Below are 25,146 nucleotides of genomic sequence, written 5' to 3' on the forward strand. Positions count from 1 at the left end.
CCAGGCTTTGCTATCAGGATGATGCTGGCATCATAAAATGAGTTAGGGAGGATTCCCTCTTTTTCTGTTGTTTGGAATCGTTTCAGAAGGAATGGTACCAGCTCCCCTTTGTACCTCTGGTAGAATTCGGCTGTGAATCCTTCTGGTCCTGGACTTTTTTTGGTTGGTAGGCTATTAATTACTGCCTCAATTTCAGAACTTGTTACTGGTCTATTCAGGGATTCTACTTCTTCCTGGTTTAGTTTTAGGAGGGTGTATGTGTCCAGGAATTTATCCATTTCTTCTAGATTTTTTAGTTTATTTGCATAGAGGTATTTATAGTATTTTCTGATAGTAGTTTGTATTTCTGTGGGATTGGTGTTGATATCCCCCTAATCATTTTTTACTGTGTCTATTTGATTCTTCTCTCTTTTCTTCTTTATTAATCTGGCTAGAGGTCTATCTATTTTGTTGATCTTTCAAAAAACCAGCTCCTGTATTCAGTGATGTTTTGAAGAGTTTTTCCTGTCTCTATATCCTTCAGTTCTGCTCTCATCTTAGTTATTTCTTGTCTTCTGCTAGCTTTTGAATGTATTTGCTCTTCCTTCTCTAGTTCTTTTAATTTTGATGTTAGGGTGTCAATTTTAGATCTTTCCTGCTTTCTCTTGTGGGCATTTAGTGCTATAAATTTCCCTCTACACACTGCTTTAAATGTGTCCTGGAGATTCTGGTATGTTGTGTCTTTGTTCTCGTTGGTTTCAAAGAACATCTTTATTTCTGCCTTAATTTCGTTATTTACCCAGTAGTCATTCGGGAGCAGGTTGTTCCGTTTCCATGTACTTATGTGGTTTTGAGTGAGTTTCTTAATCCTGAGTTCTAATTTGATTGCACTGTGGTCTGAGAGACTATTATGATTTCCATTCTTTTGCATTTGCTGAGGAGTGTTTTACTTCCAGTTATGTGGTCAATTTTAGTGTATGTGTGATGTGGTGCTGAGAGGAATGTATATTCTGTTGATTTGGGGTGGAGAGTTCTGTAGATATCATTTAGGTCTGTTTGGTCCAGAGCTGAGTTCAAGTCCTAGATATTTTTGTTAATTTTCTGTCTAATTGATCTGTCTGATATTAAAGTTTCCTACTATTGTTTGGGAGTCTAAGTCTCTTTGTAGGTCTCTAAGAACTCGCTTTATGAATCAGGGTGCTCCTGTATTGGGTGCATATATATTTAGGATAGTTACCTCTTCTTGTTGCATTGATCCCTTTACCATTAGTAATGTCCTTCTTTGTTTCTTTTTAACTTTGTTGGTTTAAAGCCTGTTTTATCGAGTGCAACCCTTGCTTTTGTTGCTTTCCGTTTGGTTGGTAAATATTCCTCCATCCCTTTATTTTGAGTGTATGTGTGTCTTTGCACATGAGATGGGTCTCCTTAATACAGCACACTGATGGGTCTTGACTCTGTCCAATTTGCCAGTCTGTGTCTTTTAATTGGGGCATTTGACCTATTTACATTTTAGGTTATTGTATTGTTAGGTGTGAATTCGATCGTGTTATTATGATGCTAGCTGGTTATTTTGCCCATTAGTTGATGCAGTTTCTTCATAGCGTTGATGGTCTTTACAATTTGGTATGTTTTTACTGTGGCTGGTACTGGTTGTTCCTTTCCATGTTTAGTGCTTCCTTCAGGAGCTCTTGTAAGGCAGGCCTGGTGGTGACAGTGTCTCTCAGCATTTGCTTGTCTCTAAAGGATTTTATTTCTCCTTCCCTTATGAAGCTTAGTTTAGCTGGATATGAAATTCTGGGTTGAAAATACTTTCCTTCGAGAATGTTGAATATTGGCCTCCACTCTCTTCTGGCTTGTAGGGTTTCTGCTGAGAGATCTGCTTTTAGTCTGATGGGCTTCTCTTTGTGGGTAACCTGAGTCTTCTCTCTGGCTGCCCTTAGCATTTTTTCCTTCATTTCAGCCTTGGTGACTCTGAGGATTATGTGTCTTGGGGTTGCTCTTCTTGAGGAGTATCTTTGTGGTGGTCTCTGTATTTCCTGAATTTGAATGTTGTCCTGCCTTGCTAGGTTGGGGAAGTTCTCCTGGATGATATCCTGAAGAGTGTTTTCCAACTTGGTTCTATTCTCCCCGTCACTTTCAGGTACATCAGTCAAATATAGATTTTGTCTTTTCTCACAGTCCCGTATTTCTTGGAGGCTTTATTTGCTTCTTTTCACTCTTTTTTCTCTAATCTTATCTTCTTGTTTTATTTCATTGAGTTGATCTTCAATCTCTGATGTCCTTTCTTCCCCTTGATCGATTCAGCTATTGATACTTGTGTATGGTTCACAAAGTTCTTGTGCTATGTTTGTCAGCTCCATTAGTTCATTTATATTCTTCTCCAAACTGGTTATTCTAGTTAGCAGTTCATCTAACCTTTTTTCAAGGTTCTTAGCTTTATTGCATTGGGTTAAAACACGCTCCTTTAGCTCAGAGGAGTTTGTTATTACCCACTTTCTGAAGCCTACCTCTGTCAATTCGTCAAACTCATTCTCCGTCTGGTTTTGTTCCCCTGCTGGCGAGGAGTTGTGATCCTTTGGGAGAGAAGAGGTGTTCTGGTTTTTGTAATTTTCAGCCTTTTTGCGCTGGTTTCTCCCCATCTTCATGGATTTACCTACCTTTGGTCTTTGATGTTGGTGACCTTCGGATGGGGTCTCTGAGTGGACATCCTTTTTGTTGATGTTGATGCTGTTCCTTTCTGTTTGTTAGTTTTCTTTCTAACAGGCGCTTCTGCTGCAGGTCTGCTGGAGTTTGCTGGAGGTCCAGTCTAGACCCTGTTTGCCTGGGTATCACGAGCAGAGGCTGCACAACAGCAAAGATTGCTGCCTGTTCCTTCGTCTGGAAGCTTCATCCCAGAGGGTCACCCACCAGATGCCAGCCAGAATTATCCTGTATGAGTTTCCGTCGGTCCCCACTGAGAGGTGTCTCCCAGTCAGGATACATGGGGTTCAGGGACCCACTTGAGGAGGCAGTCTGTCCCTTATCAGGGCTTGAACACTGTGCTGGGAGATCCGCTGCTCTCTTTAGAGCTGTCAGGCAGGGATGTTTAAGTTCTGCTGAAGCTGCGCCCACAGCCGCCCCTTTCCCCCGTTGCTCTGTCCCAGGGAGATGGGGGTTTTATCTCTAAGTCCCTGACTTGGGGCTGCTGCCTTTCTTTCAGAAATGCCCTGCCCAGAGAGGAGGAATCTAGAGAAGGAGTCTGGCCACCAGCGGCCTTTGGCCTGGCCTTGCTGAGCTACAGTGGGCTCTGCCCATTTCAACCTTCCCGATGGCTTTGTTTACACTGTGAGGGTAAAACCACCTACTCAAGCCTCAGCAAAGGCGATTCTCCCACCCCCACCTAGCTTAAGCGTCCCAGGTCGACTTCACACTGCTACGCTGGCAGCGAGAATTTCAAGCCAGTGGATCTTAGCTTGCTGGGCACCGTGGAGGTGGGACCTGCCGAGCCAGACCACTTGGCTCCCTGGCTTCAGCCCCCTTTCCAGGGGAGTGAACGGTTCTGTCTCCCTGGCATTCCAGGTGCCACTGGGGTATGAAAAATAAACTGCTGCAGCTAGCTCGGTGTCTGCCCAAACGGCTGCCCAGTTTTGTGCTTGAAACCCAGGCCCTGGTGGCCTAGGCACCGGCGGGAATCTCCTGGTCTTCCGGTTGCAAACACTGTGGTAAAAGCACAGTATCTGGGCCAGAGTGCACTGTTCCTCCCGGTACAGTCTCTCATGGCTTCACTTGGCTGGGGGAGGGAAATCCCTTTACCCCTTGCGCTTCCTGGGCAAGGCGATGCCCTACCCAGCTTTAGCCCTCCGTGGGCTGCACCAACTGTCCAACCAGTCCCAGTGAGATGAACCGGGTACCTCAGTTGGAAGTGTAGAAATCACCTGCCTTCCGTGTTGATCTCGCTGGGAGCTGCAGATGGGAGCTGTTCCTATTTGGCCATCTTGCCAGCAAATCCTGTCTGCTGCCTTTTTGTTCTCTCCCCTGTTGTGATAAGAAGGGGTACTTTATTATGTTTTTGTTTTTTTTTTTTTTTTTTTTTTTTGGTAGAAAGGTTAATTTCCACTGGATTCTGAATTGGGCAGAAAATGGAAACATTAACACTTTTTGCATAACGCCATTTTACATCCCCTGCAGCAGTGTAAAGATTTGATCAGTTAATTCCCATGGGAAGCATGGGAAAACAAGGGAGCCTTATAGACACGGGTGTTATTTTTAACAATGCTTAGAGGATGTAACAATGACTGATAAGCATCAAAGGAAGACCCTGTTTCCTTAAGGGTCACCATGATTTATGTCATACTTTTATTTTATCATTATTTCTTTTAAAATATTAGTTATCTTTTATAGGCTCCAAGAGTAGAGCTGAAAAGGAAGGAAAATGTGATAGAAGTGTGGCATTGCAGCCACTGTTTTAATGAGGAAAGCATTGTTTTTTGGAAATACTGTGGTAGAAACTATTTTAAAATATCATGCCTTCCCAGCCGTATACATCTATATGCTCTTCACATACAGGCCATTATATATTAGGAGCCTTGACTGAAATCAAGGAACCAAGAATGCCTTGACCTCAGTGGCCATCATGCTAATGTAACTGGCTGATTGGTTTTTTTCTTCAGATAGTGGCACTTTAAAATTCACGCAAAATATAAAGAATGAGGTTTTATTTATAGTGGTATATTTTAAGAGGGTGTTTAAGAGGTTTTTAAATTTGTTTCAGATGTATATTGAGTGCCCACTTTTCCTAGGACTAGTTCCTGTGTGGTGTTTAATACCGTCACTGATGTGACAAACCTTCCCTCCCCTATTCCTGCCACCTCCTCTAACCCAGCTGTGCTCCTCAGTAGCTGCAGTTCTTGGGAGTACTACAGGAGATTTCCTGTCTTGCTGGACCAATTTAGAAGGGATTTCATTGAGTTATGCTGTCATAAGCTGATCTTAAAGAGGGCATATTTTCAGAAACTCATATTTAGGTTAAGGTCCTCTCTACATTCCACAAATTGCTCCAAATTTACCTCTTTTCATCACCATAAAAATCTATATCCCATGATAGGCAGGCCTAATCTGGGAGATGTGGGAGGAGGGTGCAAACCTGCAAATGAGAGTTTCACTTCTGTTTTTAGATACTTGTTCTTAAGGTGTGGTTGGTGTGTCATCTTGGCGTTACTTCCTCTTCTGGGGAGTGGAAAATTCCCAGATTAGAACCAAGCCCCCTTGACAGGTTGTTACCATGTGTGGTGTTTGGATCCATACCTCTGCACAGCACCTAGATCTATTTTATAACCAAGTTACCTATCAATGATGCATTACCTTAGTGTGGCTGTAATAGGGCTATCAATGCTGGGTGATAAAGCTTGTTCTGGAGATCAAAGGCAAAATAAAAATTAGCCCAGTCAGGTTTGACTTTAAATCCTTATTTAATGGAGTCACGTGGTTCTGATTGAATCCTTCCTCTCTCACCCTCATACCCACTCTCACAATTACAGTATAATGTGCTGGAGAAGTGATTCTCCATTGTGGTTTTCCTCAATTCAGGGGGTACTCAACAATCTTAAGCAAGGGGTTATGTGTGAGGGTTAAAATCAGTTTTCAATGAAGTCAGTATGAAGCTATGGACATTCTTACTGGATATCAGGGTATCATTACAGTGAACACTGAAGTATACTCATGAAGTTTATAAAAATTGCAGTTCAGACACCCATCCTTGCTTCTGTGAGTGGGGTTTCAATAGAAGATAGACCGAAGCATGTTTAATATTTCCTCTATGTGGGTGAGGGTTAGGACTCTGTGTGAATATTCCACCAGTGTAATAGTAACAAAGAAAATAATTCTCAATTCTGATAATCTTGGCTTGAATTCTAGTTCTGCCAGTAACTATAGGATTTTAGATGAGTTACTTTATTTTTCCAGTCTATAAATTATTCATGTTCAAATGGGGATAGTAATAGAACCAACCTCATGGTGGTATTATAGAGATTAAGTTTATGTAATACATATAAAATGATTAGCTTAAGGTCTGATACATAATTACTTGATATTAGCTAGTTGTTATTATTATTACACAGACAATGAACTAGAGCTGTCAAGGGTTAAGAACACCTCTATGGCAGGGTGACAAACATTGTTCAGCTGGAACATTATGTGCACTTTTCATTATCCATGTCAGTGTTCCCCTCCGCTGGCCCAGATAATTGACGGTTCTCTATACTTTTATTCAGTTTTTTAAAAAAGTGTTAACATCATCTCATTAAATTTCACATCTCTATGCAGTTAGTGTCTGTTAGAAATTGCTGATTAGCCCTCTGTATTTCCACGTCTCTAAAGTGGTATCTCAAGCCTACACTCTAAGTAGGGAAGCGATAAGCAGAGAATAGTTGTCCCATAAAGCTGTTTCTCATCCATCCACACACCTGACATCAAAAAGCCAAAGATAATGTTTAAGGTTGACTACACCTTGGTTTGATCCAGTATCTTTATTTAAATGTGATGATTTAATAAAGTTGCAAGGAAAAAAAGACAAAGGACTCCACTTTAATTATAAACAAAAATCTCTCCTTCTGAATTATTCTTTTTTTTTTACTTATTTGATGGGAAGAATTTTATTATTGACCTCTTTAAATATTTGGCATTTGGATTCTTTATTTATGTGTACAGTAATTACAGATCAGACCATTTCTGCATACTTAAAATAGGAGACTCACTTTATAAGAATCTAACTCTCAAAGCGGAGACTGTCTCTTAGATGCATCCTATTCCATAGGACTGTTGTTTTGTAGACTAGGAAAAGTTTTAGAGAGAATTACATGCCTTTGATTCTTCCTATGGAGTCAGCATGATTGATTTGTAAGTTACAGTGTATTTCCACAATGTCTACCTGTCAGTTTCACAGGGCAGATAATATTGATTTTTTTACCACAAAATGTGGCAAAGTATTAATTTTCTGCCATTGTAGTGTTAACAGAATATAGAATACAACCGTAGCAGTTAATGCATCCAAACCCAGTTAGTTAGATAGACTACTTTGTACCATTGGCATCTTCCTTTACTAAATCTTTCTTGTGAATGAATGGAGATTGTTTTTATTAAAATTTTTTTTGTTTTTCTAATTTCCTCAGTTCAGTTTTTTCAAGTAGTAAGTTTAATATGGTCTATGTCTTAAAAATAACTACATTAACTCTTTTATACAAAACTATCTATGTAGAGTGAATATATCGTTTTTAGAAAATTATTTGTGCCTTTCCAGAAAGAGAAAATTTTGGCTTCCTGTTCTCTTGCCAAGTGGTGACTGTGTCTTATACTTACTCTAAGTAGTCATTAGCAGTTTATCTCCTAATAAGAATAAAAAGGTAATTTTCCGCTGCTGTGTTTTTCTTTAACTTAGATTGCATTCATTCTTAAAGGAGCACAAAAGCAAACACACAGACCTCTCATTCTGATTTTAAATAATTTAGAGTGGAACTGTGAACACAATATTTTCCCCATTGAAGATCATTTTATACTGAAGTTTAATATAGGTTTTTAAATTTCTATTTAAAACTTGGGCTCAGGAGGGTGATGGTAAAGTGTGACATTCACAAGCTGTTTCCTGGTGATGAAAAATGCATGAGAACATAACCCACACAGGACTAGTCAGGCGACTTTGAATGTAATTTTCCATTAAATTTTACTTGATTTAACTCAACACATGGTTTGTATCTTACAAATTTCTTGAAGAAAGAAATAGGTGGTCCTAAGTGAATGTAATGCCTAAAGAGCTCATCATTGTAATCATAGTTTAAATTACGTGGAACCAAGTTAAATTCCTAAAAAAAAAAACTTACACCCTCTCCTCCCTTCTTCTCCTCCGTTTCTTTCTATATTAATTTTTGAAATATCTTTGTCCTTCATATACATATACATATATATGTGTATGTATGTGTGTGTGTATATATATATATATATAGAGAGAGAGAGAGAGAGAGAAAGAAAGAAAGAGAAAGAGTGTGTGTGTGTGTTATGGGCTGAATGGTGTTCCCTTAAAATTCATATGTTGAAGTCCCAGCCCCCAGTACCTCAGAATGTAACCGTGTTTGAAGGTAAGGTTTTTAAAGAGGTGACTAAATTAAAATTAGGTCATTGGGTGTGACCCTAATATAATATGACTGGTGTCCTTGCAAGAAGTGTAGAGACACCAGGGATCCCATCAACCAGAGGGAAGGCCATGTGAGGACACAAGAGAAGGTGGCCATCTGCAAGCCAACGTGAGAGGACTCAGGAGAAACAAACCCTGCCAAAACCTTGATCTTGGACTTCTAGCTTCCAAAACTGTGAACAAATAAATTTTTGTTCTTGAAGCCACCAAGTATGTGATGTTTTGTTATGACACCTCTAGCAATCCATACATATGTATAAAATAAACCCTTGTTATTTGGTTCGGATTTTTTCTTTAAACACTGTTAATTTGTTTTCTCATACTGAGTGCTAGCAAAATTTGTGCTGCTAGTTTTGTTTTCGCATACTGAGTGCTAAATGGGAGCAGATTACTTAGATGACTTTAAGGCAAAATATTTAATTGAAATTCAGTGTATGGTCTTGGGCAAATCGGTGTTTCTGGGAGGTTTTCATTTTTATATATTTATATTAGAGTAAATGATGCCGACAGTGTTATGTAGCTCTAGGAGCTCTGATTTTGTGAGGGCAAGAATTCTATTTTTGGTCTATATTTCATTATAAAATTAGTAATCGTGGAGCTTGAGGAGGAATTGACCCCACATTGAATGCTTGGTTAGGAAATGGGTTACTATTGTGTCCAGCTGTGCAGATTGAGTACTTGACTCTGCAAGTTTTCTTGAAGCACTTACTAATTTTCCAGCAGTTCCCTCAACATTTGCCACAGTCATTCTTCCATTGAAGGTGCCACTGTCTAGAGATAGGCTGGATTAATAGTTGAGACTCTCAGAGATGAACTTGTTTCTTCTCTTTTTATTAGCATTAATGATGAGTGAGAGTAGTTGCCTGATAATACCTCCTCAGTCTGCACAGCTTTAGGCTACCTTGTGCTGTATACACCTGGAAAGATCTGACTTTAGATTTTGCAAAAATCTGTTTAGTTCCACACATAAATTAAGTTCTTTTTCATTACACAGAATGAGGAAACAACCTCATGGAAGTTTATGTGCAGTGGGTTGACTTCAACCATTGAGCCTTTAGGATATTTACAGGTGAATTGGGTAGTAGAAAATTTTAATAAGTACCTGTTTTCTACAATCTCTGTGGCATTGATTTTAAGCCCTTAACATTTGGACATATTTAGAGACATATTTGTTATTGTAAGGATTAACATAATAGGTTACTATTTTATGGAAGAGATTAGTATCTAAAGCACAAATGCTTGTTAATAACTGCCAAATAGTAGAAGTTAGGTGGTTTCCTGGCTTGTTCTTGCATTTAAAAGTAATGGATCAAATATTTCACCATTTAATATGAGGTTTGTTACAGGTTTCTATAGAAATAATATTGAATTTGGAACCTTTCCTTTGTTACTAGGTTACATAATTTTTTGATTTTATTTCAGATACACAGTATATTGAATTTTAAAAATTGTTTTTCAGGATTTTTCTCTTATGTAGTGAAATATATTAGTAATTTTTTTGAGGTTGAACCATTTTTGAATTCATGAAATAAATCTCATTTGGCCATGGTATATTATTCTTGTAGTACATTTGCAGAAATTAATTTTTAAAATATTTCTTAGAATTTTTGCTCCTACGTTTGTGATACTTGGCCTTTTGTTTAATTAGTTAGTTAATTTTGGTAATGGGGTTTTGCTAGTTAAAAGCATTTTATATTTTTATGCTATCTGCTTCATACAACTTAGTATATCTGTTTCTTAAATTTTAGTGGAAGTAGCCCTTAGAAGATTGTATTTTTAAGATTAATTCTTTAAATTTATTCTGTTTATTGTGTCTTAGTTTTTTTGTATTTTGCCTAAGTCAATTTGGGTAATTAATTTTTTCTAGAAAGTATGTACTAAATTTTGAATATTTTGGTATAAAGCTGTTCATAGTGTTCCAGGTTAATTAATGAAAACAAAAACATTCGTTCTTAAACTGAGTTATGTTCTCTTTGTATTTCCAGTGTTTATTTAGTTCTCTTTTTAATGAGACTTTCCAGATAATTATCTATTTTAATGGTCTTTACAAACAGCATTTGGTTTTATTAATCATGTTTATAATACTTTTGTCTTATATTTTACAGATATCTTTTATTGTCTTTATTAATCTCTTCCTACCGTGTTCTTTGTTGCTTCTTTTCTAGCTGCCATTAAAAGTCTACGTCATACTGCTTTATTGTTTTCTATTATATGCATATATTTAAATTTTCTTTTATGTATTGGTTTGGCTGCATGCCATAGGTCTTAAATGGTCATGCTCTCATTGACACATATTTATGAATTTTAAGTTTTGATTTTTTTAAACCCATGTTATTAAACTATTCAGCTTTAATTTTTTTATTAAAAAAAACCATTTATTGTGTATATTTAAGATACAAAGATTCAGTATCCCCTATCGGAAATGCTTGGTACGGAGGTATTTTGGCTTTAAGATTTTTTTGGATTCTGGAATATACATGAGATATCTTAGGAAGGGGACCCCAAGTCTAAACATTAAACTCACTTATGTTTCATATATAGCTTATATGCATAGCCTGAATGTAATTTTATACAATATTTTAAATAATTTTGTGCATCTATCACATGAGGTCAGGTGTGGAATTTTCCACTTGTGGCATCATGCTGATGTTAAAAAAGTTTCAGATTTTTGGAACATTTTGGTTTTAAGGTTTTTGGATTAGGGATTCTAACCTATATAGCGTGGTGGTATGGGATACATATAGATAGTAAAATGATTACTGTAGTGAAGCAAATTAATATATCTATCATCTCATATAGTTACCCATTTTTTGTTGTTGTGGCAAGAACAGCTAAAATCTACTCATTTAGCAGGAATCCCAAATAGAGTACAATGTTGTTAATTATAGTCTTAATTTCTAATTTAATTGCATTGTGTTCAGAAAAAGCAACTTGAAATGTTTTTGCAGGTTTCAATATTGAGCTCATCTTTGTGACCTAATCTATGATTTTTTTTGGTGAATTTTAGATGTGTGCTTGAAAGAATATAAATATTTGAATACATATATTAATTAAGCCGCTGTTTCTAGTATTTGAGCCCCATATATCCCTTAATTATTAGTTACTTGCTTGCTCTGTCGATTAGTAGTGTATGCTTGTCTTTCATTATCACTTCTTTCTCACTTTATTGCTACCAACAATTGTTTGATACATTTCAAAACTATGTTATTTGGCCTTTACTAGTTTACTAGTTTATTAGACTTCTTGGTGGATTTTTAACATTCATTTTTTATGGGAGATATTAATTTAATCTATTTATTGTTTTGTAAATTCTGTTTTGTCTGCTATCAATACTACTATAGGTATTATTTTAAAAAATGCTTACTGGGCTATATTTTCCCCTTCTTTATTTTCAGATTTACTCTTTTTTAATCTCTTCTTAATAGCATATTGCTAGATTTTCTTTGTTTTTTTTATTTTTTAATCTGAGAGCTTTTCCTTTAATAGGGGAAGTTGATTCGTGTATGTTTATTGTAATCATTGATATGTTTGGATTTAACTTTATTCTTTTTTTTTAAATTATTTATTTTTATTGATCATTCTTGGGTGTTTCTCGCAGAGGGGGATTTGGCAGGGTCATAGGACAATAGTGGATGGAAGGTTAGCAGATAAACAAGTGAACAAAGGTCTCTGGTTTCCTAGGCAGAGGACCCTGCGGCCTTCCGCAGTGTTTGTGTCCCTGGGTACTTAAGATTAGGGAGTGGTGATGACTCTTAAGGAGCATGCTGCCTTCAAGCATCTGTTTAACAAAGCACATCTTGCACTGCCCTTAATCCATTTAACCCTGAGTGGACACAGCACATGTTTCAGAGAGCACAGGGTTGGGGGTAAGGTCACAGATCAACAGGATCCCAAGGCAGAAGAATTTTTCTTAGTACAGAACAAAATGAAAAGTCTCCCATGTCTACTTCTCTCTATACAGACACGGCAACCATCTGATTTCTCAATCTTTTCCCCACTTTTCCCGCCTTTCTATTCCACAAAACCGCCATTGTCATCATGGCCCGTTCTCAATGAGCTGTTGGGTAGACCTCCCAGACAGGGTCATGGCCGGGCAGAGGGGCTCCTCACTTCCCAGTAGGGGCGGCCGGGCAGAAGCGCCCCTCACCTCCCGGATGGGGCGGCTGGCTGGGCCGGGGGCTGACCCCCCCACCTCCCTCCCGGACGGGGCGGCTGGCCGGGCAGAGGGGCTCCTCACTTCCCAGTAGGGGCGGCCGGGCAGAGGCGCCCCTCACCTCCCGGACGGGGCGGCTGGCCGGGCAGGGGGCTGACCCCCCCACCTCCCTGCCGGACGGGGCGGCTGGCCGGGCGGGGGGCTGACGCCCCCACCTCCCTCCCGGACGGGGGCTGACCCCCCCACCTCCCTCCCGGACGGGGCGGCTGGCCGGGCAGAGGGGCTCCTCAACTTTATTCTTATTTTATAAAATTTTACTTAGCATGCTTTCTTATTGAATATGCCTTCTCCTCTAACCTCTCACTCCTTACCCTCTTCCTCTTTCATTGCATTTTTTTTCCATTCCCCTCTCCCCAATTTGTTTGGGATTTGTATACCTTATTTATATCAATTTACTGATTACCTTTTAAAGGTTAAGAAACATCCTAAAACATATGCATTTGGAGTTTCAATCTGTATCTGCAATATATTCTGATTTATTCAAGAAAGCTCAGTGTGCTTTTATTTCTCCTTTCCTACTGTTCCTTGCCTTTTCCCCCATCACTCCAACTACATCTTATATTGAGATAATTTTTTGTCTAGATTTTTTTCTGTGGGTAATAAAATTGTTGTGTTTCCATAATTCACTTGAGGGACCGTCTTGAGTATAGTATTAATTATGCAAAATTATTTTTCCTTTTAATTTTGAAAATATTGCTTAACTGTCTTTTTGCACCGATTACAATCTATGACAATATGCTTGCTGAATAATTTTTCTATTTAGATGTAACCTCTCCCTGAAGTTTTCTGGGAGAGTTCTGTTCAGCCATTGAGCTTATTACTTTTTTAACCTCTGAGGTTCAAGCAGTTCTCCTGCCTTAGCCTCCCGAGTAGCTGGGACTACAGACTTGTGCCACCACGCCCAGCTAATTTTTGTATTTTTAGTAGAGATGGGGTTTCACCATGTTGGCCAGGATGGTCTCGATCTCTTGACCTCGTTATCTGCCTGCCTCTGCCTCCCAAAGTGCTGGGATTACAGGTGTGAGCCACCGTGCTCAGCCTATTTAAAGTTATCCTTACCTTTGCAGTGTTAACTTGCCTTCCAAGGTTTTAGCTTATCTGCCCACTGAATTTTATCCATCTCTTTCAGGATATTGATTTTCCTAAAATGATTTGTGATTTTTGGTTGTATACTCATATTTGTACTTGAGAATCACTGTCAGCTTATTTTATTTTCTGTAAATTTTCTCTACTGATTGTGTGAAAGGGATTACAGCTTGGGGGATGGGGAGACATTGCTTTTTCTCTGGGTATTGGCTATTTGAGTCCTTGCTCTGCTCAGATACCACACTCTAAGCTGTCTCCTGTGCAGATGCCTCCACAGCTTGCTTGGGAGGACACTGCAGTCTCAACTGTTTATGTGTTGATTAGTCTCATGTTCACCTAGAGGTTCTTGCTTCTTTTATTTAATAGTCTTCCCCTACATGGTCAGGCTTTTCTCTGAAGTTTTGATTCTGATTACCTTCTTTCAGAATTCTTCAAAATTTCTGATTAGATATTGGCACTCTTTTTTGTTTTCTGCTTCTAATTCTGATTTATTGTTTTTGAAAAATAACTTTTAAGTCATGATGGGTATTTTGGGCGGGAAGAAAGTAAGAAACATGTATTCAACTGGCCACATAAAATCCCAATAAATAGTGGGAGTCAGAATCATTGCCCACATATTGTGTGTTTTTTGATAAGTGATACAGGTGTATATTCAAAAGTAGTGTTCAAGCCCAACTTGAAGAATACAAGTTCTAAACTTCTGAAGTTGGTTATTTATAAAGTACCACAAATATTAGCAACTTTTTATGAATTATATGTATATTTATATTGGAATAAATCTCTTTAATAAGATATTTTTCATTCCTTATATAATTATCATTTTCTAATATGCTTTGGTATTACCCTTTTATATAATAGCAACAGTATAATAATAGATCATGTCTTATTGAAATAGAAGGTGAATGCTTCTCCACCATGGAGGACAACACTCCCCTTTTCTTGTTCCATAGTTAAAGTTGGGGTGGGAGTTGAGTACAATAAGATTGATGAGGTCACTCTCTCTTAGCATTTTTTTTGGTCCTGTTGGGAAGTGACCTGTCTTAAGAGTTGTTTTGTGGCAGCTATACCTTAAGGATTGATTTATGTATATATAAGAGAGTTCCATTTTGTATTAGTGATAGCTGAGTGATACATCTTCTGATTATCTGTTTGAATTATCACTAAAAGGTATCAGAAGAGTACCTTTATATAACTGAATATTATACCATCATGATTTACAATGGGATACAGTAAATATTTTCAGCTTTGTCAGCCATATGATCTGTATTGGAACTACAGCTGTGTTGTAGTTTGAAAACCATGAAACAATATGCAGGTGAATGACCACGACTGTGTTTCAGTAAAACTTTATGAACACTAAAATTTGATTTTCATATTATTTTCACATATCATGAAACTTTATTCTTGTTTTGCTTTGCTTCCTTCAACCATTAGAAAAGGTAAAAACTATTCTAAACTTATGGGATATACAAAAACAGGTGGTGGGCTGGATTTGACCCATGGGCCACAGTTTGCCAGCTCCTAATTTAGAAGATGGTATAATAACATGTAAAGTGTTCATAATTGATTGAATAAAAAAAGGGAGGGGCAGGTTTAAAAACAGTAGATATAGTGCAATTTCATTTATGTAAGAAAGCAATCATCAGCTTACAGATAGCACTGGAAGAACAGCTATCAAAATATTAACAGTGGTTTCCTGGTTAGCTTATGGGAATAATTTCGTTCTACATTGTGTTTATTTGCATTTTTTTTTAGTTTTGTATCCTGTTTATTATGTTGTTTTGAAAAATAAACATGTATGCCAGAAAAAACAGTTATTTAAAAAGTGACAGAGAATCTGTACATTTTTAGCAAAATCAGGGTATTTGTTGTTAATTAATTTGATACAATCTGTTTTGTTTACCCTGTGCTTCATTTTTAGCCAACAAGTCCCAAATTTGGAAAAGCTGACTCATATGAAAAGCTGGAAAAACTAGGGGAAGGATCTTATGCTACAGTATACAAAGGGAAAAGCAAGTAAGTTCATTATTTTTGGAATATTTCACATGTACAGTGTATCTGCCCTCTTATTACTAAATAGCATTTTATTTAAATAATTATTATTTAATATACAATAGATTTTCCTCCCTCACGGTATCCTTTTTTTTTTTTTTTTTTGGCAAGTGTGTAAAACTCATTGGAATTGGTGTACCCTGCTAGTAAACAGTTTTTCAGACTGTTCAATTTATTTTTCTGTTTAATGCGCCTCCCCACAACACTGCTTTCTCTTTCAAAGGAGTTGGAACCGTCTAATGAGAATTCATTTCCAGGTGAATTATGTGATTAATTTCTCATAGAGATTTAGTGTTGGGAATAGGAGTATTGATTTGACAATGCCAAATATATTGGCCATTCTTGGGGTCTTTTTAAGTTAAGCTTTTACTCCATCTTTCAGAAGTCTCTTAGTTAAACAAAATGGCAAACTTTTCTTTTTCTTTCTTCCTGTCTGCTTTGGCATCATGCTGCATATATTTTCATATCGAGAAACAACTGTCTCCTCCTTTTCTTCTTTCTCTCCATTGCTCTCTGGGGGTCAGGGCACAGATTTGGATTCTTGAAAAGCTTGTCCTCATGTGTTTCTGATTGACCTCCTTACTCTCCCTTATTAATTAAGGACAGAGAGTTACTGTATTTAGTGACATGTAGTTGTAGATAACTTAATGCAATCTCTGCAACAACCACAGAAGTCACAAGCTTTGTTTTACCTTTATAACTTTACCAAATGATGTTGCAAAATAATTTTCTATACTGTCCCTGTTATCTCTTTTCAAAATCTTTATAGAAGATAGGACTTTTTTGTCTGAGACAGCATTTCGCCCTGTTGCCCAGGCTGGAGTACAGTGGCTTGATAACGGCTCATTGCAGCCTCAACCTCCTGGGCTCAAACAGTCCTCTTGCCTTAGCCTCCTGAGTAACTGGGACTACAAGCCCATGCCATCATGTCTGGCTATTTTTTTTAAAAAACTCTTTTGCAGAAACGGAATTTTCCTGTATTGCCCAGGCTGGTTTTAAACTCCTGGGCTTAAGTGATCCTCTGGCCTCGGCCACCCAAAGTGTTGGGATTACAGGCATGAACCACTGCACCCAGCCAGATTAGAATATTGTAACTTAAGTAATTAAATAAGAAGATGTAGAAGAGAAAAATTCTCTGAAGGATCATTCCAAAGACATAGTTGGAAATTTTGATTATGTGCTAATTTAGGTAATCTTAGGATTTTCAGGAGTGTGGTCTTATATCTGTTTGTTCATGTTTCTTAAGTTTAGAAGATGAAATATTCCTTATCAAGAAAGATATGTAAGGCAAAAATACTGTGAAGTCAAAAGTAATAGTATTAATTTTGAGAGTTGTAAAAAAAAGTTTGTAAAAATGGTGCAGGGAGCCCTCTTCATTCCACACCCGGGCAGATCTCCAGGCCTTTGGAGCACCCGCTTGCCTCGTTCTATATCTTGAGCTGCCCCACCCCTTCTGTCCAGAGATCCTGGTATAGCAGAGCCTTCTTCACTCCATGCCCAGTCAGATCTCCAAGCATTCAAAGCACCTGCTCACCTCATCTGGATTGGCAACCTCAGTTGCCCCACCCTTCCTTTGCAGACATCCAGGTGCAGGAGGGGCCCTTTCTGCTTTACATCCAGGCAGATCTCCAGGCAGTTAGAGCACCTGCTCACTTTGTTCAGCATCCTGAGTCACTCACTCTTCCTGTGCAGAGACCATGGTGCAGCTAGGCCTCTGCTCCACACCCAGGCAGATCTCCAGGCATTTGGAGCACCAGTTCACCTGGAATGGCAGCTTAAGCTGCCTCACCCTTTCTACACAAAAACTCTGGTGTAGCAGGTTCCTCTCTCCTCCATGCCCCAGCAAATCTCCAGGGATCTGGAGCACTTACACTCCTGGATTAGGAGTTTAGGCTGCCTCCACTTCCTCTGCAGAGACTTGGGGCTAAGGATGTTTCCCAGCTTCATGTTTAGGCACACTCTGGGTGCTTGGTGGCTTTCTACTGGATTCTCCATCAGTGCTGGTGCTTGTGCCTGCTATCAGGGGATGACCATCTTGCCTCATGCCCCCAGGACTGAGAAGGGAACTCAGAACACTATGGGCTCCACAGATCAGCCCATTGCCTAAGGCAACAGAGAGCATCTCCCCATAAATAAGGATCAAGTATATATCCAGACACATTGGCTGCAGTAGGTTCTTACTGATAAGTGCCATCTACTGGCTGTAGGTCAAACCAAACAGCCGTATGTAAAAGCTGCTGATAGAAATGCATAGGGCTATAGAAGCAAAGCCAAAAGATCCTACCCAGCATTCTCTGCAGTTGCAACACAGAGGGAGTGGGGAGAAGGGAAGGGGAAAGAAAACACACACACACACACACACACACACACACACACACACACACACACACCAATAATATTACAGAGAAAGAAAAAGAAAAAATGCAATCTGTACAAAAATAATTACAAAAATTATAGTGCCAACATCTCCAGATGAGAAGGAACCAGCAAAAGAATTTTGTTATTGTGAAAAATCTGAATGTCTTGGCACCGCTGAAGGATCACACTAACTCTCCAGCAATAATTCCTGACCAAAATGGAAACTCAGAAATGACAGATAAATAATTGAAAGCATGGATTACAAGGAAGCTTAGTGAGATCCAAGACATGATTCAAAATCTACACAAAGAAACTTCTAAATCAATCCAGGAAATGAAGAAGGAGATATAACATCTTAAAAGGAAATCAGTCAGCGTTTCTAGAATTGAAAAGCTCACTTAAGGAATTTCAATACAATTGAGGCCGGACGTGGTGGCTCACACTTGTAATCCCAGCACTTTGGGAGGCCAAGGCGAGCGGATCATCTGAGGTCAGGAGTTTGAAACCAGCCTGGCCAATATGATGAAACCCCATCTCTACTAAAAACAGAAAAATTAGCTAGGTGTGGTGGCACATGCCTGTAATCTCAGCTACTCCAGAGGCTGAGGCATGAGAATAGCTTGAACCTGCGAGGCGGAGGTTGCAGTGAGCTGAGATCACACCACTGCACTCCAGCCTGGGCAACAGAGCGAGACTGTCTCCAAAAAAAAAGAAAAAAAAAGAAAAGAAGAAAACAGTTGAAAGCTTCAATATCTTAGACCAAGTGGAAGAAATAATTTCAGAGCTTGAAGACCAATCTTCTTAACCCAGACAAAAATAATATTTTTTTAAATGAACAAAATCTTTGAGAAATATGGGATAATGTAAAGTGATCAAACCTTCAAATTATTGGCATTCCTAAGTGAGACAGAGAAAAGGTAAACAACCTGGAAAACATATTTGAGGGAATAATCCCAGAAAAATCCCCTAACCTTGCTAGAGAGGTGAATATCCAGATTCAAAAAATCTGGAGAACATCTGGGAGATACTATATAAAATGAACACCACCAAGACTTACTCACCAGGATGTCTAAGGTCAATGCTAAAGAAAAAATGTTAGAAAGAAAAAAGCAAGATCACATATAAAGGGAACACCATTAAGCTAACAGCAGATTTCTCAGAAGAAACCTTACAAGCCAGGAGAGTTTGGGGGCCTGTTTTCACCATTCTTAAAATAAATCTCGGCCAAGAATTTCATATCCCACCAAGATAAGCCTCATACGCAAAGGAGTAATAAAATGTTTTCCAGACAAGCAAGTGCTGAGGGAATTTCTTACCACTAGATCAGCCTTACAAGAGATCCTTAAGGGTGTTCTAAACATGGAAATGTAAGAACAATACCCACTACCACAAAAACACACATAAGTACATGGCCCACAGATTCTGTAAAGGCACTATACAATAGAAACTATAATGCAACCAAGTAACAACTTCATGATAGGCTCAAAATGCTATATATCAATATTAACTTTGAATATAAACTGACTAAACCTCACACTTTTAAAGGGCATAGAATTGTAAGTTGGATTAAGGAAAGAAAAACAAGACCTATCTCTCTGCTGTTTTCAGGAGACCCATCTCACATGTGATTACACAAGTAGGCTCAAAGTAAAGGGTTGGAGAAAGATCTATCACTCAAATGGAAAACAAACAAGAGCAGGGGTCACTATTTTTATATCAGATAAAACAGACTTTAAGCCAACAACAATAAAAAAGGAGAAAGAAGGGCGTTACATAATGATAAAGTGTTCAATTCAACAAGAAGACTTAACTATCCTAAATATATATGCATGCAACATTGGAACAACCAGATTCCTGAAACAATTACTTGTAGACCTACAAAAGGACTTAGCCACACAATAATAGTGGGGGCTTCCACAACGCACTGACAGCATTAGACAGATCATCAAGGCAGAAGACCAACAAGGAAATTCTGGACTTAAATTCTACCCCTGACCAACTAGACCTAATAGGCATCTACAGGATATTCCACTCATCAACCACAGAATATACATTCTTCTCATTTGCATTTAGGACAGATGACCACATGCTCAGTCATAAAGCAAGTCTCAGTAAATTAAAAAAAAAAATCAAAGTCATACCATCCATACTCTTAGACCACAGTGGAATAAAAATAAGAATCAATACCAAGAGGATTTCCCCAAACTTTGCAATTACATGGAAATTAAACAACTTCCTCCTGAATAACTTTTGATTAAACAATTAAAGCAGAAGTCAAAAAATTCTTAGACATAAATGAAAACAGAGACAAATCATACCAAAATCCTTGGGATACAGGAAAAACAGTGTTAAGAGGAAAGTTTACAGCACTAAATGGCTACCTAAAAAAATTAGAAAGATCTTAAATTAACTAACATCACTCCTAGAGGAACTAGAAAAACAAGAACAACCTAACCCCAAAGCCAGAAGAAGAAAAAACATAACTAAAATCAATGCAGAACTGACTGGAATTGAGACCTAAAAATATATTAAAAATAAATGAAATCAAAAGTTGGTTCTTTGAAAGGATAAAGATCAATAGAACACTAATTAAAGGAAGAGAGAAGATCCAAGTTAACACAATCAGAAATGACAAAGGTGACATTACAGCTGATCCCATGGAGATAGAAAAGATTGTCAGAGACTATTAGGAACAACTCTATGTATACAAAGTAGAAAATCTAGAGGAAATTGGTAAATTTCTGGAACACATAACCTCCCAATATTGCATCAGGAAGAAATGGAAACTCTGAACAGACCAATATCAAGTTCCACAATTGAATTAATAATAAAAACCTACCAATCAAAAAAAGCCCAGGACTAGATTGTCTCATAGCCAAGTTCTACCAGAAGTGCAGAGAAGAGATGGTATCAATTCTACTGAAACTATTGCAAAAAATTGAGGAAGATGGACACCGCCTTATCATCGAGGATGATGAAGCCAGCATCATCCTGATATGAACAACTAGGAAAGAAACAATGAAAACAGAAAACTAAAAGCCAATATGCCTGATGAACAAAAATCCTAAACAAAATACCAGCAAACCAAATCCAGCAGCACATCAAAAAGATCATTCACCACAATCAAGTAGGCTTCATTCCTGGGATGCAAGGTTGGTTCAGAATTCACAAATCGATACATGTGCTTCACCACATAACAGAATTAAGAACAAAAACCATTTGATCATCTCAGTCGATTTGCAAAAAGGCTTTGATAAAATCCAACATCCCTTCATGATAAAGACCCTCAGTAAGCTAGGCATTGAAGGAACATAGTTCAAAATAATAAGAGCCACCTATGACAAACCCACAGCTAACATCATACTGAACTGACAACAGCTGGAAGCATTCCTCTACAGAACTGGAAAAAGACAAGGATACCCACTCTCGCCGCTCCTATTAAAACATAGTACCAGAAGTCCTGGCCAGAGCAATCAGGCAAGAGAAAGAAATAAAAGGCATCCAAATAAGAAATCAAGTGAAATTATCCATCTTTGCTGACAATATGATTCTATACAGAGTCTAAAGAGTCCGCCAAAAAGCTCCTGGAATTGATGAATGACTTCAGTACAGTTTCAGAATATAAAATCAATGTATAAAATCCAGCATTATTTCTATACACCAGCAGCATTCAAGCTGAGAATTAAATCAAGAATGCAATTTCATTTACAATAGCCACAAAAAATTAAAAGGCCTAGGAAAATGTCTAACCAAGGAGGTTAAAGATCTCTGCAAGGAGTACTACAAAACATTGCTGAAAGAAATCATAGATGACACAAACAAATGGAAAAACATTTCGTGCTTTTGGATTGGAAGAATCAATATTGTTAAAATGGCCATGCTGCCCAATGCAATCTATTGATGCAGTGCTATTCCTATCAAACTGCCAATGTTGTTTTTCACAGAATTAGAAAAACATATTCTAACATTCATATGGAATCAAAGAAGAGCTTGAATATCCAAAGCATTCCTAAGGGAAAAGAACCAAGACAGAGGCGTCACACTACCTGAATTCAAACTATATTATAAGGCTACAGTAACTGAAACAGCATGATACTAGTACAAAAATAGACACATAGACCAAAGGAACAGAATAGAGAACCCAGAAATAAAGCCACACACCTACAGCCACCTGATCTTTGACAAAGTTAACAAAAATAAGTGATGGGGAAAGGACTCCCTATTTAATAAATGTTTCTTGTATAGATGGCTGTCCATATGCAGGAGAATGAAAGTGGATCCCTCCCTTTCACCATATATAAAAATTAACTCAAGATGGATTGAAGATTTAAACGTAAGACCTCGAAACTCTAAGAATCCTAGAAGAAAATTTAGGAAACATCGTCTGAGCATCGGCCTTTGGAAACGATTTATGACTAAGTTCACAAAAGCAATTGCAACAAAAGCCAAAATTGATAAGTGGGACCTAATTGAAGAGTTTCTGCACAGCAAAATAAACTATCAACAGAGTAAACAGAATGGGAGAAAATATTCAGAAACTGTGTATCTGACAAAGATCTGATATCTAGAATCTCTGAGGAACTTACACAATTTAACGAGCAATAACCAAATAACTCCATAAAAAGTGAGCAAAATACATGAACAGAAACAGACACTTCTCAAAAGAAGACATTCAAGCGGCCAACAAACATGAAGAAATGCTCCACTCACTAATCATCAGAAAAATACAAATCAAAACCGTAATGAGATACCATCTCAAATCAGTTAGAATGGCTATTATTAAAAGTCAAAAACAGGTGCTGGGAAGGCTGTGTAGAAAAGGGAACGCTTATACACTGCTGGTGAGAATGTAAATTAGTTCAGCCACTGTGGAAATCAGTTTGGAGATTTCTCAAAGAACTTAAAACAGGAACTGTCATTCATCCCAGCAGTCTCATTACTGGGTATATATCCAAAAGAAACGAAATTGTTCTACCAAAAAGACACATGCAGTTTTATGTTAATTACAGCACTATTCACGATAGCAAAGCTGTGGAGTCAACCTACATGCCCATCAGTAGTGAATTGGATTAAAAAAATGTGGTACATATACACCACAGAATATTGCACAGCCATTAAAAAGAATGAAATCGTGTTCTTTGCAGCATCATGGATGCAGCTGGAGGCCATTATCCTAAGTGAATTAACACAGGAACAGAAAACCAAATATTGCATGTTTTCACTTGTAAGTGGGAGCTAAGCATTGGGTACACTTGGACATAAGTTGGGAACAATAGACACTGGAGACTGCTGAGTGGGGTTGCTAAGGAAGGGGGAAAAGGGTTGAAAAACCTTTGGGTACTATACTTACTACCTGCATGACAGGATCATTCATATCCCATACCTCAGAATCATGCAATATACTAATATGATAAACCTGTACATGTAGCCCCGTAATCTAAAATGAAAGTTGAAATTACTTAAAAAGTATTTTTTTAAGAAAATTTGAATGAATAGTCAGCATGATAAGGGATAAAAAACAAAATCCAGAGGACTGTTAATAACCATATTGCTTGAGAATTTTGGAATGTCAAAGTAATGGTCTAAATGATTGAGTTAATTTTAATAGGGGTTGTGCCCCATATTTTAATTTTCTTTCCTAAAGAAAAATAGCAGTACTTTACCATATAAAAATTACTTGTACTAAATTTAGTGTCAATAACATGATAACTACCCTTTATTAAGCAATTATTTTGTGTACAATATAGTACATCCCTTTGTCTCATTTACTCCTCACAATGCCGTATGAGGTGGGTCCCATTATTGTCATCTTCATTTAACAGTCAGGAATCTTAGGGCTTAGAGAGGTTTAGCATCTTGCCTATGTTCACACAGGTAGTTAGTGGCAAAGTTTGTTTAGCTCATTCCCATCTGGTGGCTTGAAGCTATCATTTTCCTAATCAGTACACCATTACTGCTTCCATAGTGCAAGACCTTGGAAAGATGTGATCCTCTCTGAATATTCCAAATAGTTCTCACATATACTCTGACTTGTTTTAATTATGACTCAAATAGAAGCAAACACTATTTCTTTATAAGAAAACGAACCACTTGGAAGTTCCTATCCATTGAAGATGTGCTCAGCTGATCTCCAGATGTGTTAATAACTCTATTAAATTTTTATCTTGAAGATTTATTTCAAAATCTTGGAGATAGTTGAAGAATTTTTCATTTATTATGCCTGAATAAAAGAAAGACTTTAAAAGTACCTATAATCTTTGAGAAAGATTGTTCTGGACGGTTAATAGTTTTCACTCTAGTAGGTATTAATTTATCTTGTTAGCATTTCTTGAGCAGTTTCAAGCCTCCTGGTCACATGTAGTACTTCCTTTCCTCCAGGTGGAGAGGAAAGCCATTGCCTAGTTACCTGCTTTAAGAGATGACAGGCTCCCTGGCTTTGCTTGCTTTAAGGTGGCTAAGTCAGGCTGAAGAATAACAGCTACATGTCATATAGCAGGACTTGAGAGCTAAGTTTGGTGTGTCCCTATAGTGCTATATAATTTAAATAGCCAACTAATTGTTGGGATCCCTGTTCCAATACTCCTCACCATTCTCTCATAAATGTCTGCATCCCACCTGCCATCTTTAAACATAATCTTTTGCATCCTCCCCAGAAACAGCTCTCATTATCTTGCAGTGAAGCTGTCTGGCATTTGTAGAGATACTTGTGATTTTCAGTTTGTGAGCATTTTACACATATGTGTTGGTTTACAGGTGTCATGTTTGGATTTTACCATAAGCTTCATTGTATTAGTTTGCTAGGGCTTGAAATAACAATGTCCCACAATCTGGGTGGCTTAAGCTACATGTACTTTCTCAGTTCTAGAGGCTAGAAGTCTGAAATCAAGGTGTCTGCAGGGTAGGTTCCTTCTGAGGATTGTTAGGGAGAATCTGTTCCATGCCTCTGTCCTAGCTTCTGGTGGTGTGCTGGCAATTTTGGGCATTCCTGGCTTGCAGGTGCATCACCCCTCTTGTTGCCTTCTCCACATGGCATTCTTCCAGTGTGTGTGTGTGTGTGTGTGTGTGTGTGTGTGTGTGTGTGTCTGTGTGTGTCTGTGTCCAAGTTTTCCCTTTCTGTCAGGACATGAGTTATATTTGATTAAGGTCCACCCTAATGATCTCATTTTGATTTGATTGCCTCCATAAATGACTCATTTCAAAAAAAAATGCATTCTGAGGTGCTTGGGGTTAGAACTTCAACATATCTTTTTGAACAGTTCAATCCATAACACTTACTAGTGTCAAACCTCACTAACTT

General features: G+C 38.0%; 1 protein-coding gene across 4 annotated transcripts in view, besides 2 other annotated features; it reads left to right on the forward strand.

Annotated features, from left to right (window-relative positions):
* CDK14 (cyclin dependent kinase 14) overlaps positions 1-25,146 on the forward strand; it is a 614,270-nt gene that overhangs the window by 136,000 nt on the left and 453,124 nt on the right. For 3 of the 4 annotated variants that reach the window (NM_001287135.2, NM_012395.3, NM_001287136.1), the window contains one exon: positions 15,361-15,455. The exons of the other annotated variant lie outside the window; for it this stretch is intronic. In NM_001287135.2, the coding sequence (NP_001274064.1) occupies positions 15,361-15,455 (95 nt within the window). The remainder of the gene's footprint in view (positions 1-15,360; positions 15,456-25,146) is intronic. 4 annotated transcript variants of the gene reach the window in all.
* Positions 5,026-5,315: an enhancer, noted in NCBI's record as "active region_26250". NCBI's record gives its function as "activates an Ori minimal core promoter by ATAC-STARR-seq in GM12878 lymphoblastoid cells {active_cell/tissue: GM12878}" and the evidence as "EXISTENCE:reporter gene assay evidence [ECO:0000049][PMID:35858748]".
* Positions 17,424-17,483: an enhancer, noted in NCBI's record as "active region_26251". NCBI's record gives its function as "activates an Ori minimal core promoter by ATAC-STARR-seq in GM12878 lymphoblastoid cells {active_cell/tissue: GM12878}" and the evidence as "EXISTENCE:reporter gene assay evidence [ECO:0000049][PMID:35858748]".

This window comes from Homo sapiens, chromosome 7 (genome assembly GCF_000001405.40).
Source record: "Homo sapiens chromosome 7, GRCh38.p14 Primary Assembly".
NCBI classification, from domain to species: domain Eukaryota; kingdom Metazoa; phylum Chordata; class Mammalia; order Primates; family Hominidae; genus Homo; species Homo sapiens.